Here is a 21,056-nt window from a genome sequence, read left to right as displayed (position 1 = left end):
CAATTGAGTAACATTTTATTTGTCTGGTGGTGTTGAATAGAGAGAGATTATGACTCAAGCCTACCTTGCTTTTTTTTTCTTTTTTTTTTCTTTTAATGAGACTGAGTCTTGCTCTTCAGATGACCCAGCCCAGAGTGCAATGGTGTGATACCGGCCCACTGCAACTTCCGCCTCCTAGGTTTAAGCGGTTCTCCCATCTCAGCCTCCTGAGTAGCTGGGATTGCAGGCATGTGCCATTATGCCCGGCTAATTTTAGTATTTTTAGTAGAGATGGGGTTTTGCTATGTTGCCCAGGCTGATCTCAAACTCCTGACATCGGGTGATTTGCCTGCCTTGGCCTCCCAAAGTTCTGGGATTACAGGCATGAGCCACCACGCATGGCCTCAAGCCTACCCTTTAAAAGCTGAGATTTTAAAGTTTTCAAACTTGAGAAGAAAACCTTATGTTATTAGTATTACATGTTTTAAAATCCATTGTGATGAAATACAGCATACTGAATTGATTTTGACCTTATCCTGGAATCAGGGTCATTACTGTGACCTTCAATTATTGTACTTTTGGCCTTTCCCTTGCTGTCAGCTGTCACTGCAGCAATGCTAATTGGGGCTTTTAATCATGTAGCTTAGTGAAAACAAATAGCATATAATATTTTATGTAGATAGACTTACTAAATTCTGAAGAATCGTCTGAAAGCTTCCTTCTTGGAGTGAAAAGTATGTGATTGTCTTCTTCAGGACACGGAAGAGGGGATTTTATCACTTATGTTCCTGTATTTGTTTTAATAACTGATGACCCATGGCAGATGTTTATTTTTGCTTTTATGTTCTTATCCGTGTATGGAAAAGCTTAGATTGGGTATTGGTAAGGCCTTGGAATTAGATAGGCCTGGATACAAATTCCACTGATATCTCTTAGTAGCTGTGTAATCTTGGGCATTCAGAATAACCTCTTCAAGTTCATTTCCTCTTCTGTAAAATGAGGATAATCATGCTTTCATCGTAGAGTTGTTGTGAGGATTAAATGAAGAATTCATGCAGTGTGCTAGCATAGTGTCTGCACATAGTAATTGCTCAATATTATCAATAATGATAACTATTTTCATTACTAATTTGGATTTGACTGATGTCTGCCACTTCTTAATTTCATTGTTCAAATAACCTGTAACCGATTTGGAATGTGAAGCTGAGCAAGCTTGATAGTTGAAAGAAAATATTATTATGAAATATTTAATGTATTCTTCACTGATTAGAAAGATTTTCTCACCTTCCCATAAAGAAGATAACACAATTAAAGAACATCTATACATGGCAGAGTCTGGATACCTGCATTACATTATGATATTTAAAGGAATCATTGCAAACTACCTCAAAGAATCCTGAGAGGTTAAAACTGAGTTTATAATTATATAGACTTGGTAATTTGTTAAATGCAGCAAGAAAAATAAGATTACACCATAAGTTTTTCGGAAATTTCCCATTTTAAATAAAATTGTCAATTCTATGCTGTATGTGATGGGTATGGAATTTGTGATTAATCTGTACCAATTGGATTAAAATGGGTTCAGCAGGTTTTTAAACTTATTGTTGATAATGGAAATATAAAGCTCGGGAAAAATTGTGACCATTTTTTTTTCCATTGTCTACTCATCTTTCATTTAACTTTTATTGATTTAAAATCCTTTAGTGCAGTTAACTGCTATTATAAAGTCTATTGAAGTAAATACTCATATAACATTTTTTTACTTATATGACAGTTGCTTTTGGAGTAGCTGGAAGAGCTGTGAGGTACTCATATTTCATTTTTAACCATTTGGAGAATAGTTTTCTATGTGTGAAATGTCCACTTAATCAGCACCATAGCTCTTTTTGCTAAGAGTCTTAGAAATGAACAAGATAGTATAACCACTGAATGAAAAATTTTAAAGATGTTACTCAGTGAAAAGTTTCTAAAATAAAAGGCAACACATGAATTACTCTGAAAAAGTTATTTTTAGATAGCAAATAAATATTTTTCTTTCAGTTATTTGTAGGAACATCAATCTATCAAAACTTTTCCCTCATGTCTTTAACAGGATGTAAAGTATATAATTTAATGGAATAATTAATATGAATAGCAGTTGTTGTACTTATGTAGCAAGTATTTGTTATTTTGCTGAGGTAGAGAAGTTTCTCCCTATACTGAATGCTTCCAGAATATGTTTTATATTGTGTGTGTGTGTGTGTGTGTGTGTGTGTGTGTGTGTGTGTGTGTGTGTGTGTGTTTGAGTGGGGCGGGGGTGTTGGGTGATGGTGATGTAAATTTTAAAAAACAACTGCTTTTTCTTACTCCTTTTCTATCAGCTGTCACATCTTACCCCTGTTGTTACATTTTCTTCAGTAGTCCTTTCCTTTTAACATGGAAAACAAGTAATGAAGGTTTTTAAAATTGTGCAAGAAAAGTATGCATAATTTAGTTCTCACCAAAGGCCCGAAGAGTGAACTAAAAATCTCAAAACCTCCTCTCATGTTACAAATGCAGTACACATTTATTTTAAAAAGCCAGAAAATGTTAATAAGAATAAAAAGGTCACTTATCATCTCACATACTAGAGATCATTTCTTTTTTAAGCTAAAACAGGAAAAGATAAATTGCTACAGGTATTTTAGCAGGAAGAGCATTGATATAGGGAAGGAAGATTGGTAATAACCGATCTTACTTTGAGGATATCAAGAAATGAGAGAATCATAGGAAGCCACCACCTATGATATCAGCCACCTATAGCCCTACAGTGGGTGATTATCAGGAGCTTTACCCAGAAGCCATGTATACATCACCCTAACATCTATCCCCACTTCTACCAGCCACTGCTGGGGGAAGAATATGGTTGCTTCTCTCCAGTGTTCTTACTTTCACATGAGTGCCTTTCATCCACAGAACCTAAGCCAAAATCCTGCCTACAAGGGATCTGGGAAATGTAGTTTCCAGGCTTCCAGGCACTGTGAAAGAGCTTGAAAGTATAGGGATGATGTTGAAAATTCTGTCATCAACAGATAATATACCCTGCAGCATCCTTCCGAATTCATTCCTCAACACACGTATGCTACTTACAACTGAACACTTAATCAGGACCATAGCTAGATATATGCTGTTTGGTAATTTGCTTTTATCACTTGATTTAGTATAACGCATATCTTTCTAAACTCTGTTACTGTCTATGTTTGTTTTCTGCTGCTGTAACAGAATACATAGACTGGGTAATTGTTAAAGAACAGAAATTTATTTCTTATAGTCTAGAGACTGAGAAGCCCAAGATCAAAGGGCTGCATCTGGTGAGGACCTTCTTGCTGCATCATACCATGGTGGAAGGTGGAAGGTGGAAGGGCAAGAGAGTAAGAATGAGAGAGAGAGAGAGAGCGCGTGTGTGTGTGAGAGAGAGAGAGAACGCACGCACACGAGAGCAAGAGGGGTCAGATTTGCTTTTATGACAACTACTGTCGTGGTAATGAATCCACTCCTTTGATAACAGCTTTAATCCATCCATGAAGGCAAAGCATTCATGACCTAATCACCTCCTAAAGTTCCTACTTTTCAGTACTGTTGCATTGGGGATTAAGTTCTCAATACGTGAACTTTGGGGGACACATTTAAATGATAGCAGTTATACATATATCTTAAAATTTTTGTGTTAAAAAGGAATATATTAATATTTTTGGTAAGCTGCTTTTATCACTTACGATATTGTCAACATCTTTTTGAATGGCTCTTTAGAATTCTGTTGTTGGATTTATTAAATAAGCACCCAGTGCTAGACAATTTAGATAGTTTCCAACTTCTTGCTCTTATATCAGTGATTTGCTCTGCATCTTTTTGACTAAAACTTTGTATATGACCATTTATTCTTCAGGGAAAATTCCAAGAAATGTAATTTCCGAGTCCGATTGTGTGGTCCATGGCCTTTTCTGACTTGTATTTTGCTTCTTCCTAAATTCTTTTTGCTTACTTCCATTTCTCTGGTAACTGGATGCCAGAAAGTTGTTGTGGAGATATAAAAATTCAGGATGGTTTTAACACTTAGGCCCTTTTGCATTGAGAGTCCTTAATCCTCAATCATATAAGATACTTGGACCTCCACCCATGCTTCATATAAACACTAAATGTGCTTTAAACTAAGAAAGCCTAAGAACTTCTGCTAAAGATTAATTCTAACTTTCCAAGCCAGGGAACAGTAGGTTGGACCAAGGGTCTCTAGAGACTTTACCTCTTTCATTTTACACTTCCTTCTTTCCTTCTTCCTTCTCACCCTGCTTTTCTCCCTTTTTCATTCCATTCTATTGTGATCATAAAAAGTCATTAAGGTATTTAGTATTTAGAGATGATCTGTTATTTTATTTTTATTTTATTTTATGTATTGTATTGTATTGTATTTTAATTTTTTTGAAATGGAGTCTTGCTTTGTCACCCAGGCTGGAGTGCAGTGGCGCGATCTTGGCTCACTGCAAGCTCTGCCTCTTGGGTTCACGCCATTCTCCCGCCTCAGCCTCCCGAGTAGCTGGGACTACAGGTGCCTGCCACCACGCCCGGCTAATTTTTTGTGTGTTTTTAGTAGAGACGGGGTTTCACGGTGTTAGCCAGGATGGTCTCGATCTCCTGACCTCATGATCCGCCCACCTCGGCCTCCCAAAGTGCTGGGATTACAGGCGTGAGCCACCGTGCCCAGCCCGATTTGTTATTTTATACAAGACTTCCCAGTTGTGAAGCTTATGTTGACATGTGTTCCTTGCTGGCCATTTCAGCCTGGGTGACAGAATGAAACCCTCTCTCTTAAAAACAAAACAAAACAAAACAAAACAAAACAAGCCTTGGCTTAGGGTTGTGGCTTCTGGCTACAGTTACAAGCCTTCTGCATTTCTGTAAGTGGCTGTGATAAACAGGGAATGCTGGAAGATCTCCTCCTTGGGGGCTCATCAGTGGATCTGCCAGTAATAAGGATTTCATCACTGGCAGGAAGACCTTAGGTAATTGGAAAATGATGAGCAACTTTAAATTTAGGAGATTTTTCTTTTACAATATAGGCACAGTTCCTTGGTAATCTCAACATTCTGGTGGTGCCCTTTGCTTCTGACCTTATTTAATAGACTCTTCACTTGTGTTGAAAGCAATTCTACAAATACCAGCTTTTATCTAGTGTTTACATGGGCAGTCCTGCTTGACTTTGAATTTATTTGTTAGTTTTTTGATTATTACATGTATCTTTAACATTTTCTAACTAGAATAGAATACTTTTTTCTTTTAGAAATGGCTTAGTTTTATTAGGAAGATAAAATATTCTATGTCTTAGAAAGCAATATTGAAGCCAGCAGCAAAACTTAATTATCTGAAATGAAATACAGATGATTAAATTATTTCCTAAAATCAATAAAATTGAATCAACTGAAAAAATCAATGTGCTATATAAATAATGCCTTTTAAAGTATTTCCCATGTCTTTGTGGAATATTGGCTCAGAGGTTTGCAATCTGGGCAGCAATGTAAAGTTTCATTCATAAAAAGTATTCTAGATTTTTTTTTTAAGATGTCAGAGGTCTTTAGCATTGGCTTCCATGAACAGTTACCATGGGTCTACTATGTATAGGGCATGTTGACAGGCACTGGGGAAGCATTATGGCTCTAGAGAGATTTCCAATTTGGTCAGATATACAAGGAAGACACATAGCTAGAAAGAACAAATACATGTAAATATATGGTCGCATATACCAGTCTTTAACCATGTGCAAACAGGAGTTTAGAGAATTTGATGATGGCCATGATTTGGGATGGGAAATCTTCCTTGAGAAAGTGTTGTATGAAGTGAAGGGCAACCTAAGGCAAGTATGGAGGAGCAGGAATTCTAGGTAAGGCTGACTTATCAGGTTGTGCAATACACAAAGGTCCTGTATAAAATATGGAAATGTTCTCATTCTTGCCAGATGCCATAGACTTGTATACATTTTATAACAGTTTCGGATAGATAATCTGACTTCTCAAGCCACCTTGGCTCCTTGATATTCCTTGATTATCCGAGGAAGATTTCTTCCTTAAGGCTTTGCACTGGGTTGTTCTTCTATCTGGAATGCTTATCCCTCAGATATTTCCTATTTACTTCAAGCATTTGCTTAAATGTCACCTTCATGATGAAACTTAACTAGTGTACCCTATTTAAAATAACTATTTCCCTCACCTGCATATAACCATGCTATAGCATTTATCAATATTGAATATAATGATAATTACATGTAATTAATAAGTTCATTATTGTGTGCCTCTCTCTCCACCCTCTTACCCCAAAAGAGAAAGTCTCATGATGGTAGAGAAATTTTTCTTCTATGCATTTTTAGTTTACTGATCTATATCCCAAGTGCCTAGAATATCACCTTGCTATGTAGTAGGTACTCAGATATTTGCTGAATGAATAAAGGTGTGCATGAATGAAGTTGAGTAACATTTATAGAACAGAAAGGGCAGGAGGCAAAACTGTTACACAGTGGTTGGGGGCAGAAATAAATGCAGGAGAAAATATTATCTGAAGACTGTGGAAAAAGACAGTGACCACAGTGCAGAAACATGGAGCAGTCAAATAAGAAAAGAAATAAAAAAATTCAGTCATCAGATTTGGCAGTTGAGAGGTCGTTGGTGATTTTTGTTTCAGTTGGATAATGTAGATGGTGAGATGCATACTAGAAAAGAACCAAGGAAATGAAGACATCATTCTTATGTAAGACTGTTCATGTTTGGTACCCGCCTGCTGGACATCATTCAGTCACATCATACGTATACATTTATCTAGAGTGACAGCTTGGCATCTAGCAGTAACATGGCATTCTTTAACAAAATCAGCATTTTAACTCAATTGAGGAAGGAAGGAAGGGTGCCTTTTCTGATTGATACCAAAGGGTCATTTGGCCAGTGTCTACGTAGTGGCCCTGAGTGGAGGCAATTCCACAAGCTCTTTTGGGAACTGATGTTTGATGGAGGAGGAAGAGGAAATGATGGAGCACGTAAGGTGGAAAGTTATAGAACAGGTAATGGGTAGGATAGGTTAGCCAGGAAGAAGCCAAGGACAGAGAGACCAAGTGTTAGAGTATCCAGCTGCAGATCGATGAGGGCATGGGAGTGGTAGGCAAAGGAGTAGTATGAGGCAGGCGGCAGAGGGTTGAGAGGAGCTGCTGATGGATTGGGTGTGACCAAGAGAACAAGGGGTCAAGAATGACTTCAAGGCCATAAGTGTGGGAGGTGAGGCAGATTAATTTATTTACACAAATGGAGGTGTCAGTTCTCAGAAAATATAAATTTAGTTTTAGCCATGCTTAATTTAAGATGGCTGGGGAATGTTAAGATAGGAATTTCTGGTAGATGGAGTTTTTCAACAAATATAAAGGGGAGGACTCAGTTTTGTTAGTTTTTAGTGAAAATCCTGCAGTGGGGATAAAGATGCATACTCAGCTTCTGTAGTGAGTATCTTAGGTGAATGCCCTTATTACTGTCTTTGCCACACTTTGAGAATGGTATTCTTATCATTTCTACCTGAAGTTAGAGAGATTTTATCATTTATCTGGCATCTTGCAGCTTATGAATGATAGAGTTGGAGGTCAAATGCAGGTCTCTCTGCTGCCACAGCCCTCATATTCCATTCTACTTTCTGCTTGTACCCTCAGAGGTCACATTTGGGGATGCCTAGGAAGTCTGGGATTGAGTAGCGCATTTCTGGCAAATATGATATTTTTTATAGCTGTGTTTTACATTCATTACTTCAAAGATTATTTGGTCTACTTGGATCAAATGTTTGTTACAGCTGCAGAAGCTTCCTGCTCTCTGAATCCTTTTTGGAGGTGCTGGTTTTCTTCTGAAAGTTTTAAGGTGCTTTTTTCTTATGAACCAACTGCTCAGATTTTTTTAAAAAATTAAATATCCTGCTACCTCATTTTTTCTCTATAGCACATTCCCATGTCTTAACTTCGATTTTTTTCTTTTCTTTTTGTGTCACCTGACTTTGTTGAGAAGGCTGGAGATACATTTCAAGCCCTTCCTAGTCCTTAAAATTATTTCTTTCACACTAGCAGATTATCTCATTTCAATTCTGCCTTTATGGTTTAACGAAAACCTGGTTTAATAATCCAGCAATGTTAGCCATTGGGATTCATCCTTTGGTATAATAACATCAGTATCCATGGCTGGGAAATTATTAGGTTCTCTATGTGTTATGGCAAATACGGGTATGGATATAGATAAATGAGTTGCCTTATATCAAGAGACTGCACAAATAAGTCTGTAAGCTTTTTTTTTAATTCTTTAATTTTATTTGTATCCTACTGGCCTTCGCTCTCCTTCCCCTCTCTTGTTGATACATAGATATGATTTATATCCTCATGGCAGGTGTCATACTTTGTATAACTTCATAAATATTTTCTTAAAGGTTTAAACATGTAGGACCTCAGGTTATTCTAAAATACGTAAAAGAACAAAACAAAATCATAAATCAATGTAAAGAATAAATGCATATTATGGAGAAAATTACCTAAAAAACTCCTACATAAGACTATCTAGCGGTACTTAGGTGCATGGCAATAGTGAAAGGGCAGAAAACAGGGGATGGTACCAAAAATAGATGCGTTATTCTTCCAGAATGTGAAACATTATATAATTGCTTACAAAGCAATCATCATATGTAGACAAATGACACAGAATGGAAGATGAATAAAGTCAATGTAAGATTAAAAAAAATTGAAACAATTACATCTCCATCTGTTACACTGATAATGTAAAAAGATATTGTACATTCAATCACAGATGGCCTTTTAATCACTTTAGAAACTTAGCACAGAAAACTAGGCAAAGTCTGTAGAGACCCTTGGTCTAGCCTCCTGTCCTTTAGCTTGGAAAGTTAGAATTCATCTTTAGCAGAAGTTCTTAAGCTTTCTTAGTTTAAGGCATGCTTAATATTTCTCTGAATTTTTTTTTATTTTTTTATTTTGCAGGCCAAAACAATAACAGTTTTTGTTGTTGTTTTTTTTGTTTTTTTTTTTGAGATGGAGTTTTGTTCTTGTAGTCAAGGCCAGAGTGCAGTGGCACAATCTTGGCTAACTGCAACCTCCGCCTCCTGGGTTCAAGCGATTCTCCTCCCTCAGCCTCCCGAGTAGCTGGGATTACAGGTGCATGCCACCATGCGTGGCTAATTTTTGTATTTTTAGTAGAGACGGGGTTTCACCATGTTGGCCAGGCTGATCTCGAACTGCTGACCTCAGGTGATCCACCCGCCTTGGCCTCCCAAAGTGCTGGGATTACAGGCGTGAACCACCCTCTCCAGCCCAGTTTTGTTTTTAAGTAGTTATCTCTAAGCAATTTAATAAATATTTATGTCCCAACAACATAGTAGTTGGTTGAAAGAAAATAATACAAGTACATTGAAAGGAAAAATATTTTTATTTTTATTTTATTCTTAAATACCCACAATTATTACTAATGGGATGTGTGTGCCTGTTGGGCACTACATAACTTCTCAAATCTTGGAATAAGATTACACACCACCACACCCTCATTTTTTGTTTTACATTGATTGTTGTACCATGTTTAGTTGTTAACCACTGCATCTGCTGAATATCCAGCTTCACAAAGATACACCATTAAAAGGAACTTAGTGGGATCTAATGTTAAAACTACACAGTAATTTGAGCTAGTAATTCATGCAGTATCAGATGCTGAATATTCTTGTGATTTTTTTGGTGAAAATTTAAAATATCCTGCAGTGTCTCTGAGTTTGCTGTGGTGTTCCAGGATACCTTGGTGTATAATTTAGGAACCACCAACCAATAATCTTAAACTAGTAGGTTATGGGACACAGGCCAGAAATTATTTGCTTCCTAGTGCTTTTTAATCACATAGGTAAATTGTCAGCTACAATACCTGGGACATAGCAGCTCCCCAGCTGGTGTAAATTATTTTTCCCTTGCTATACTGTCAGCATTTATAGCCATATCTTTCCATGGTGGTCCGATTTATATTTACAGTCCAGTAATCTTTAGTAAGTACAGTCTGGCATATCTTATTGCCAATTGTTTGATTTTATGTGGAAGTGGGTGACACAGTTATTACTGAGTCTCTTTATAAAAATCTTATTTACGTAAAATATACAAGGTAAGGAAATGCATTCATTAACAACTGAAGACTGAGTGAGTAAAAAAATAACTTGTGGACACTATTTTCTTGTATAATTGAAAATTATGCACCACTACCACCACTACCACAAATAGTTTTGTATAAGATATGTCTGTTAAGTTCAGAGACCACAAAGTCCCTATTGTGATGCAATAACCTCGGTTAACTGAGCATATCTTCTCCATGTCCTGGTGAGGATAGCTATTTCAGAAGATCATTTATAGGACCATTTACAAAAATACAGTATCAATCACACTGCTTATTTTAGCATGCTTCAGTTGTGGTTTACAGGCAGTGATCCCTCTGTAAATGGACTGCACTTATCAACATGCTCTCATGGTTTACAATGATCTTGACAGCAGATTTAGTGGATTGAATATGGGTCTGATATGGTATGGCCTTCTCAAAGTCTAGACTTTATAAGGTGTAACATTTCACTTTGCACGTGGAAGAGAAACTTCTCATGTTCTCCCTGTTAAGAGTTGAAGGCCTAAAAACAATTTGCAAGTACTGTGTTGATGATTTAGTTATTAGCACATTTTCCAAAAGCATGTAGAGAAAATATCAAATTTGCATGCAGTGGTAAGGGGTGCATAAAGGTAACTTCCTCCTGACGTGTGGCTACAAAGTATACTATGGATATACTTTGCGGCTACACTGTACCACGTTTTCACTTCTCATATCCTGTTAATTTTCAGTAGGTTTCCTAAGTGTCGAAGCTTGTAGTCTATGTAGCAAATGTATTTCTATCCATGTGTAACTGTTTCAAATTATGGAAAATATCACACCTTGAGCCTTGAGCTTTACTTTGTAATGTGTTTAGTGCAGGATTGAGTTCCTTGAAAAGTGAAGAAGAAGAGATAATTTTAGTGAGCTACAAATGCCTGCTGATATATATTAAGTATGCTGAAAGTGTATGAATATAAAAAAAGGAATTTTATGGAGAAAGAATAGTTGAAAGACCTAAGGAGATTCTTGAAGGGGTCAGGTTTCAGGAAACTAAAGAGCCACCCAGCTAAGATACAGATCAAAGTAAGCCTTATGTTTATTGCTTATCTGTTCTGGGAAAAGCAGAGGCAGCCAAGTAAGACTTCTGATCTGCTTTCAAAACCTAATTCACCAGTTATTATTAGTTTGGCTTTAGGCATGTTACTTCATTCTCTAACCACACGTACCTCACCTAGAACAATACCCAGGCGGGAATGGGAACAATACCTATTTCATAAAATAATCCTGAAGATTAGATGAAGTAACACTGCAAAGGACTTCACTCAGCCTTGATACATCATTCTGCCTTAGAAAATTCCAATGAATTCATTCTCTTTCCTGTCCTACGGAGCTCACATGTGGCTGGCTCCTTGTTTCTTAAACCTTCCCTCAATGTGTAGTTAACTGTGCCATCATCTGTGCCTTTGTAGCCCTTCACAATGCATCCCATTATAGCACGTATCAAATTGTATTATTTATTCCTGCTTCTCTTTGCTAGTGGGCTGTAAGGTCGTTGAACATGAGGGACCACATCTTATTCAGCACCTTGCGCAGAACCTAATAAGTGCTCAAAAATGACATGCAGTGAATGAGATGATTGGATGGCCGCTTACCGCTGTTGGCTCAGCCCAGACATTTTTTTATTAATATATCTCTATGACTGTGCCCTTGACACTCTCTTCTATATTTCTAGATGCTTAGTAAAAGAAATAGATACTTTCATAATTTATTTTTAGGAAATAATAACTGCATTGTGAAAAAAGTCATCTAGGAAACTTTTCTGCCCCCACCCTTGTAGGTAGGACAACCATTTTTATTCTTTGTGCCCTCTCAGAACCACATACATACTTTCATCATCTTCATCATATACTTGAACCATTTATTGAACTCATTTGTTTGTTTTTCTAATGTATAGTAAGCTTTTGGAGAGAAGGCATTGCATCTAGTTCATCTCTACATCCTTAGTACTCAGAGGGTATTTGTTGACAAATGGACTGAGTGTATCCCTTTCTTAGACTGAGACATTATTATTTTTTTAGAATGAAGAACCTTCCCATTACTTAAAATACTTTGTTTTTAAATGGAACTACATTGCTTAGAATAGTTTAAAAGATGTTTTGTTTTTTATGTTCATGTATAGTATATAATCTGTTGCATGAATATTTTACTTACATATTTTATGGGATATGTGTTTTCAGTAGATATATTTTTATAGGAGATACATTTTTAAATACCTACAAAAATCCCAGTACTGTGAAGTATCTGTGTCATTAAGTGTAATAAAACATATTACAGTAACAGTAATCTGCTGAATGCTTCCTATTACCCTGCAGGGACCCTAGAGATTGAAAGCTTTATTTTGGAAAAGTCATCTTTATGGTAATAATGTAAATGGATGTATTAAGTAACAGAGCACTTATAAAGAGATCCTTGTCTAAAGGCTTGGTATGTAGGGCAGAAAACCATGCTTCACTCAGAAGGCCACTGGCTGTGGTGGAAACTTGCTGTTTCTTCATGGAGTTGATAACAAATATTTTTTCATGTTATTTTTTCTCACATTTATTTTTCAAAGTAAAAACATTTATTTTTCATATTTGTAGAATTCTTCTATTTATAAAAGTAATTTCTACTTATGAAGAGAGCAGAAATAAGAGGAACTCTCACTACCCAGAAATAACCATTGTTAAATTTGTTGTGTGTAATTCCCTACATGTATACATGCATTATATATATGTATTCACGTGATGATACTCGTTCCCCCATATTTTCCAAAATGAGGTCATAGAACAGGTGCTGAGTTTTGATCTGCTTCCTTTTTTTTTTAATTTAATAATGACATTCTTTGCCCAAAGGAGTAATAAAACCTATTTTTATCTAAAATCTCTGGAGAACAAAACATTTTACCTAATAGTTTTCAAGTTAGGTAAGGGTTTTCATACTCATATTTTAAACTTTTTAGCTTTTCATAAAAAATCTTTTAAGATGTGGCACACTCTAGTGGTTATGAGACTTTGGGTTTTATTGAACAGTGTAGGGAAAAGAGCAAGAGGGGATTTTAGAAAGTAAGGTACAGCAATAAAATTTCATAAAATATGTCTTAATGTGTACTATCCCTTTCATTTCATAAAGGAGAGGACCGATTCTAGCACCATACATGAAGGAAGAGTATAATCTCAGAATGCCAGGCTGCCATTCAGGAAGTACCAGCATGCTGTCTCAGATAAGCGGTTCTGAGGAACTGCAGTCTATGGTTTATGCACTTACTGAGTTACCGTGGTGTCATGGGCAGGGTGAATGCACCTGAGGTGGTGCAGGACGCCAAATAGTGTAACTAGAAGTCCCAGAGGAGGCTAAAGCCTTCTTGACTAAACTGCGACCCTGGTGCTGTGTGGGTAGCTCCTTTCCTGCCTCACTTCCTCCTTTTCCTTCCCTCGTGGCATTCTCAGCTTTCCATATGCCCTTTCTGGGTCCTGGTTGCTCCTGTTCCCTCCCCTGTTGCTCCTGATACTCACCTCTTCTTGTCTTTTCTCTCTTTCTCCCTCTACTTTTTCAATTCTCATGGTTTTCTCTGTAGAGAAAAGCTGATCTTTTAAGACACAGTGGTCTTTTTGTATGAAGTATGTAAATGCCTTTGACTACTACATACATATGCCTACATATGAAAGTAGTAGTAGGCATATGTATGTAGTAGTCAAAGGCATTTATTAATTTAGTTGTTCAATATATATTTACTGCTGTGTCTCTAGGCAACAGAGATGCAAGGCCAAGCCAAACCTCCTCCCTTGGGAATTCTCAGGACAGTGGCAGTTACTTTGGGTCTTTAGCACTTATGGCAGGTGTCAGTGCTGCTCCGGCTCCTTGTGTTGCCATCTGGGTACTGTTTAAACCTTATTGTGGACTGTGGATTTCTTTGGGTGAAAGTCTGTTTTTCTCACCCTTCTATCTGTTGAGTGCTGTGCAGTGTCTTGTACAGAATAGATTTATTTTCCTGTCTATTTCTGGAGAGGGGCTTTTTTTGAAGATCTGATCAATGATTGGAGTCAAACTCTTTAGTCCCACATGTGATCCATTGTAAACTAACTGGCAAATGTTTCATATTTCCCCTCTAATACATAACAAAAACAGTTTAAGTCTGAAAAGTGGTATAAATGGAACGGAACATGACATTCCTGTAGCCATTTTTTTAATACAGATTATATCCCTGATTAATAACAAAATTGCCAGTCTTTTTAAATATAAAATTACAACAACCATATAGAATCACACACCTCCAACCTCTGCTGATCTTGATCTTAGTACATGAGGCTTGGGTTGCGATTAGATTTATTGTGGCAGGAGGTTTTGTGTTTGAGGAACTAAAGGACTTTCTAGTAAACATAGATGCAGGAGAGCAAATTTGTGAGTAAATACCTTAAAGTCTTTATATAAGTTTTTTGTAGTTAAAGTCACTAACACAGAACAATAATAACAGTACAATAAATACAGAGAATGTACGTGGCATTTTAGATATCAAGTTGGTAATAATGGCTGCTGTGCGATTAATTTGATGAAAGAGGACAGTGATGATCCTGATTGGAAGATTGATAGCTCTTGGGTGGGGTGGGGATGGGGAGAGGCACTCCACTTGCTTTTCTTAAGGACTTGCTCAAAGTAAGTCTGTGTCTCTAAGTGGAGAGCTTTATCAATTGATTTCTTTTTAACATTTGATATATGTCCAGTATGTTCTGCCAAATGCAGGTTGCCAACCAGTAAGTTACAGAAATGGCTCCATGGTTCTGCAGTGCTCTGGCTGCCTAAATTGAACATTATGTATCTGTGTTGTTCTGATGGAATTAGAATCCTGCAGGTGCTTGTGGCCATGGGAGAAAGTGTGTGGCAGCACCTCTGGCACGGAGAGTTACTTCCTGCAAGAAGTCCAAGCTGAAAATGGATCCCCGCTGGGCCACATTTCTGGTGCCACTTCATTGAGCACTTTCTGTGTAGCAGCAGTTTCCTGGTGTTACTGCTGAATTGTTTCAGGGGTAATTTCCTGTGAGTTCAGTATGCATAGTAACAATAAAGAATTTTCATATTGCTATGTGATTAATGTTTATTAAGTATAAAATTTCACAGTTGTGTAAAAATATGCAAAATTTATAACTAATTCATTTTTGAGCAAGGACACATGATTGGGGTGGGATTACTATTTAATAAAAATGCTACTCTATTATTTATTGTAAGTCTTTTACAAGTGTACAGAAATCAGTGACGTGGCCAATAATACCAGTTTTTCTTTCCTGTGTCACTGGGTAGTCTAAAGGCATAGTGAGGTGTTTAGTAACTTCATAGTTTAGTAACTGTGAAGCCAGGCTGCCTCAGTTTGAATCCTACCTCCTCTAACTATTGGCTGTATGACATTGGGCAACTATTTAACATCTCTCTACCTCTGTTTCCTCATCTGTAAAATGGGGGTAGCTGTGAGAACTGGATAAGATTGCTTAGGATAGTGTCTGACAGAGTAAGACCTTTGTAAGTGTTAGTTCTACTAATTATTATTTTTCAGATTCCTGCATTATTTTTATAACAGCAGATGACAAGCAATGTGAAAAAGTACCATTATAAGTACAATGTAAGTGGAATACAAATGTTAGCCATGGTTTTCTACACCTTTGAGGAAATAATATTGATTTTTGTTCCCCACTCACGTCCCATGGGTGAGAGTCCGATTCCTTCTCCAACAAGTTTCTGAAGCCTTGGGGCTTAAGTTCTCATGATCATTGCAGCCCTGTGTTCCTGCTCCTGCTTCCCATAGCTCTTTTTTTTTTCCTCTTCGTCCCAAACTGACTTGGACAAGAAACTCAGTCCCTTCCTCTTGATTTCTCCTCATTCCCCCAGCTTCTCTCATTAAGCATTTGGGTGGGCAACAGACTTCATGGGAGGCTTTGGCAGTGGAGGTGAGAGGGGCTGAGATCTGTTGTAAACAATTTATAGCACCTTTTGTGTTAAAGCAAACATGACTGCCTGATAGAATAGAAAGCAGAATTTACATATGATAAAGAAATTCTAGCTGTGTGGTAGACTGGGCCACTTCAGGCAACCAGAACACCAGGAATGTGCATTTATTCTCCTCTGTCATTAGGGGTACTTCTATGGGGGAAATGTTTGGGGAAGTACATTTGATAATTGCATCATATAGTGAGCAAACAGTTTGAAATTTGTCTTTCAGTCACTGTTCTACAGTTTGCAGGTAACACCCTATAATATTTATATCTGCCGTTTTTAAAAGTTAAGAATTATTAGGAAAGCATTTATTGTCTTTAATTATAGAGAGAGTAATGTAACCATATTGTCTCTTTATCTTTTTCTTTTTGGGAGCTGCCTGCCAAGATTTAGGAATCATTTTGTTTTTCTAAACACTTAATTTCATCATAATGAAATTTCTTGTCTAATGAGATTTATATCACTTTCCTTATTATGAGAGTTCAGCTTGTTTTAATTGTGATGTCTGAGAACTTATACTGAAACTTGCCGTAGTCAGGAAGACACCTGTCCTAATAGGAAGACATTTTACTTAATGAGTTGATGCCAGTTTAAATTTCTGCCTTGTTTTACTTCTACCTTTTCTTCTTTGAGTAGTGAAAATTGCATTTTTATCTAGCTTTAAAATTTGCTCTCTGCAGTGAGATCTACTACATGAAATCTTTTCTCAAAGTGATCTGTGTGAAAATTTAAATTAATAAACATATACCATTATTTGGAATATGAGCTTTAATGAAAATTCTTGCCCGAGTAAACAGTGTCCATTTACAGTCAACTATAGGAAATAATTTAACTATTTACAAGGATGCTTTTGAGGGATGACATTGGTAGTCATTGATTGTTGCAGCCCCAATCAGTATTCTGTGTGTGCTTTGACTGGTTTGGTGCTACTTACCTTCACATGCCAGGGGTCTTTCTTTACAGAACCGATGTGTTGATGGTGAATCATGATGCACTGTTCTTGCACAGAGGTAGCCCTGACATTTATTTCATGAAAGAGTTTTCCTATTTTGGGATCTTGTGGGGATATTCATGAACATAATAGCCTACCCAGGAAAAAAGTTAGATATGGTGAAGAAGAACAATGCCATATTTAATGCTTGATCTTTAAAAAATAAGTTTCTTATAACTTTGGTCAGAAGAACACTGATATAGTTTGGCTGTGTCCCCACCCAAATCTCATCTTGAATTCCCACATGTTGTGGGAGTGACCTGGTGGGAGGTAATTGAATCATGAGGGCAGGTCTTTCCTGTGCTGTTCTCATGTGAGTGAATAAGTCTCATGAGATCTGATGGTTTTATAAAGGAGAGTTTCCCTCCGGAAGCTTTTTTTGCCTGCTGCCATCCATGTAAGACATGACTTGCTCTTCCTCACCTTCCGCCATGATTATGAGGCCTCCCCAGCCACTTGGAACTGTAAGTCCATTAAACTCTTCTTCCTGTATAAATTACCCAGTCTCAGGTATTTCTTTATCAGCAGCATGAAAATGGGCTAATACAAACACACAGGCTTGTAAAAGTAGATTACTTTTAAGTAAACACTTTTACCCTGTGATTTTTATTATAAAGTTGGAGATGGGTACTTTTGGGAAAAGTATTTTCCTAGATGTGTAAAAATCAAACTTTAAAAAGGAGCAAATGTTTAAAATTGAGTCTAGTAAAGTATTTATAGAAATAATTTTAAATGTTATTATATAATCTTGCTGAAAAATAAGTCACTAAATAAAGTTATACTACTAAAAATGAAAATGTTCGTGACAGAATAACTGGCTGTAGGAACATCTCACTGAGGATTATTATTTTTGTAAGTTGACACTGGAGCTTTAGCAACTTGACCAAGTTTTTTACTCTGTGTATATTTTTAATTCTTTCATTCTCTGATTTTAGTTGACCTCTTTTAGCTGTTTCCAGAATCATCTAGAAGATCTTTTGTATTAGTCATGAGCTGGAGGCCAGGTAGTGCTCAGCCTAATGTTAAACCTCATACAAATGGGCACATGAGAAAGGAGTGGGCAGTTATTGTTGAAATATTATTGCTGACATTTAAAATGGTTATAGGGATGGGGGAAATCTAGGCCAAGAAAAAGGTTATCTTTGTCTTCTTCAGACTTGAGGGCATGGAGAGTATGACATGAGCAAACCTAATACTTGATTTTCAGAAATTCAGGGGAAAATATTCACTGACAAAATAATTTTAGAATGTCTATAATTTTTAGTGAATATATATTGATGTAGCAAATTTATTGTAGTCTTTATATATAGATAGAGAGGAGTCCACATCATTTTTTTTTGTAACTAATTTTTTGGTTTTTGCCTAAATTCAGGTAGCAAAGATGAAATGTTGGTTAAAGAAACTAAAAATAAAAAAATAGAAAAAAGGGGAAGGAGAATTAGAAAAATCAGAAAAGGAAATTTACAGGGGAGTGAAGAGATGGCAGTGATACGTGCATTTGTACAACTCCTTCAGGTTAAAAGCTGCTCCTTGGACTGTGAACTCCTTGGGAAAAGGCCTGTCTTCTCTTTGTATCTTTAGCATCTAATCTTGTACTCAGCGTGTGCTTAAAGTGGTACCTAGTACGTAATGGGCACTCAGTCAGTGCTTAATGAATGAAATCAATTAATGAAACTTAGATTTCTCATGGGTTATTTCACCTGATACAAGTCCTTTAAGGAAAACGTAATTTTCCCCATATTATAAAAGGACAAACCAAGACTCTCATGGGTTAAATGATTGCCAAATAATGACAATTCTGCTAACAATGACATGCCATTATGACATATTAATCACATAAAATTAGGGATATATTTGTATTTCATGATTTATAATTTCATTATTATTAGCAGTAAGTAATATTTAGTGAAAGCTTATTGCTTCCTAAAATTATGCTTGACATGCAAATTTCACTAGACTAAATACTATCCTGTAAGGAAGATAGAATCATCTACATTTTATAGTCTGGAGTTTAAAGGGATAGGTTACCTTTCAAGTTTACCTAGCTAGTGGATGGGTGACTTGAAAGCAGCCTGGTCTGACCCCTGAGCTCTTTTTTTTTTTTTTTTTTTTTTTTTTGAGACGGAGTCTTGCTGTGTCCCCCAGGCTGGACTGCAATGGCGCGGTCTCCGCACACTGCAACCTCTGCCTCCCGGGTTCAAGCGATTCTCCTGCCTCAACCTCCCAAGTAGCTGGGATTACAGGCATACACCACCACATCTGGCTAATTTTTGTATTTTTAGTAGAGACGGGGTTTCACCATGTTGGCCAGGCTGGTCTTGAACTCCTGACCTCAGGTGATCCACCCGCTTCGGCCTCCCAAAGTGCTGGGTTTACAGGCATGAGCTACCGTGCCCACCCCAACTGAGCCCTTTCTTAATGACTACACTAAGTTACCTCCTTCTAGTCACACAGTTCTTGATGGCAGAGCCAGGATTTGCATCCAGGTCTTTTGTTCCTAGTTTTCTTCCCCTGTATATCGTGCGTGTGTGTGTATTTCATTTGCCTTGTAGTAGGCCATGATCAGGGCATATAATAATGACCAAAAACCTGAATTCTGTTAGTATAGAATTTGGTAGATTTTCTGAAAGATATTTGATTAAAATGATATAACATCTGAGAGGAGAGAATGACTATCACTACCTGGAGTTGCCATGCAAGGCTTGACACAGAAATGTAATGGCGTGAAGAATGAGGAATACTCCAGGTAGAGGAAAAAGATGAATGACTATGCAATTTATTGTCCAAATCAGATTTTTTTTTTTTTTAAAGAAAGGGACACTAGCAATAATTGTGGTAGGACATCAGGGCTTGAACCAGGACCATCTGTGGAAACCAGGCCAGTGGTCTTTGTACAGAAATTCTGTTTTAGGCAGAAGGAGCTATATATACAAGTGGCTATTTAAAATTCACATAATATTTCAAACAGTGTTAGATTAAAAAAACCAAAATAATAAAACCCTACACCACATCTGCCTTATAGGAGTAAAGTGGCAATGAATAACTACTGAAGAAACAGCTTATAAATACCTAATTAGGGAGAAGAGAGTTCTAGAATGATCTAGCACAGTCTATTCAGGAAGTTGTATGATCTGAAAGTGTCTTCCATTTTTGGTAGAAAAATGGCTAAGTTTGGTGCAGATTTGCAGAGCACAGAAATTAAGGTATTTACTAGAGTTGGGGGTAAAGAAGGATAAAACATTTAATTCATTGAAATTAATTTCACTGTGAACATATGACTCAAAGAAGGCAGACTAAAGGTGTCTGGTTGTGGGAATTAACAGAATTCGAGTTAGTCTATCCATTTATGTTTCCTTGTTAGATTTTTCTCTTCCCACTGGAAGTGAAACACTGTTAATTCACTATTGAGCCCCAGACAGAAATAGTGTGTATGGTGAGAATGTGGTGAGGGGTAATAGAGATTGTTTGGATTAGCAAGTTTCTGAACAGAATACAAACTCCTTTTGATTTAGAGATGGCAGTGTTTATGGGAAGGCTAAGACAAGGTGGGAAAAAGAAAAGACCAAGAAGTACTTTGTATACTTAATTGGATATACTTCAACCTGGTTAGTATTCTATATGGCTAATATTTTCAGAAGAAATACTACATAGAAGTAGTGGTATTTATTAAGAAAATTACATATGTTTGTATGTGTAAACATACAGATAACAATATATATGATATATGTACATGAGCCATAGTGTAATGGTTAGCACTGTGGACTCCGATATATGTACACAAATCTGACTCACAATTTACTACTTCTTGCTGATACGGTGATTTTAGTGCAAAACCTAAGCATTGATACTAAGAAAGAATAAAATTTTATTTTTATAAAATTAAGATTGTGAAATAGTGAGCAGAGCTAAAATCTGGAGTATAAGCCGTAAAT

The 21,056-nt window shown here is 36.8% G+C and overlaps 1 protein-coding gene and 1 non-coding gene across 8 annotated transcripts in view; one reads left to right on the top strand and one right to left on the bottom strand.

Annotated features, from left to right (window-relative positions):
* VAV3 (vav guanine nucleotide exchange factor 3) overlaps window positions 1-21,056 on the top strand; it is a 394,020-nt gene that overhangs the window by 54,100 nt on the left and 318,864 nt on the right. The window lies entirely within an intron of this gene.
* Window positions 13,777-13,858, bottom strand: MIR7852 (microRNA 7852). The gene has a single exon (NR_107006.1). It is a non-coding gene; the product is annotated as a microRNA 7852 (primary transcript).

This window comes from Homo sapiens, chromosome 1 (assembly GCF_000001405.40).
Source record: "Homo sapiens chromosome 1, GRCh38.p14 Primary Assembly".
NCBI lineage: Eukaryota > Metazoa > Chordata > Mammalia > Primates > Hominidae > Homo > Homo sapiens.
The sequence above is the reverse complement of the archived record's forward strand: the minus strand, read 5'-3'. Positions and strand labels throughout refer to the sequence as shown.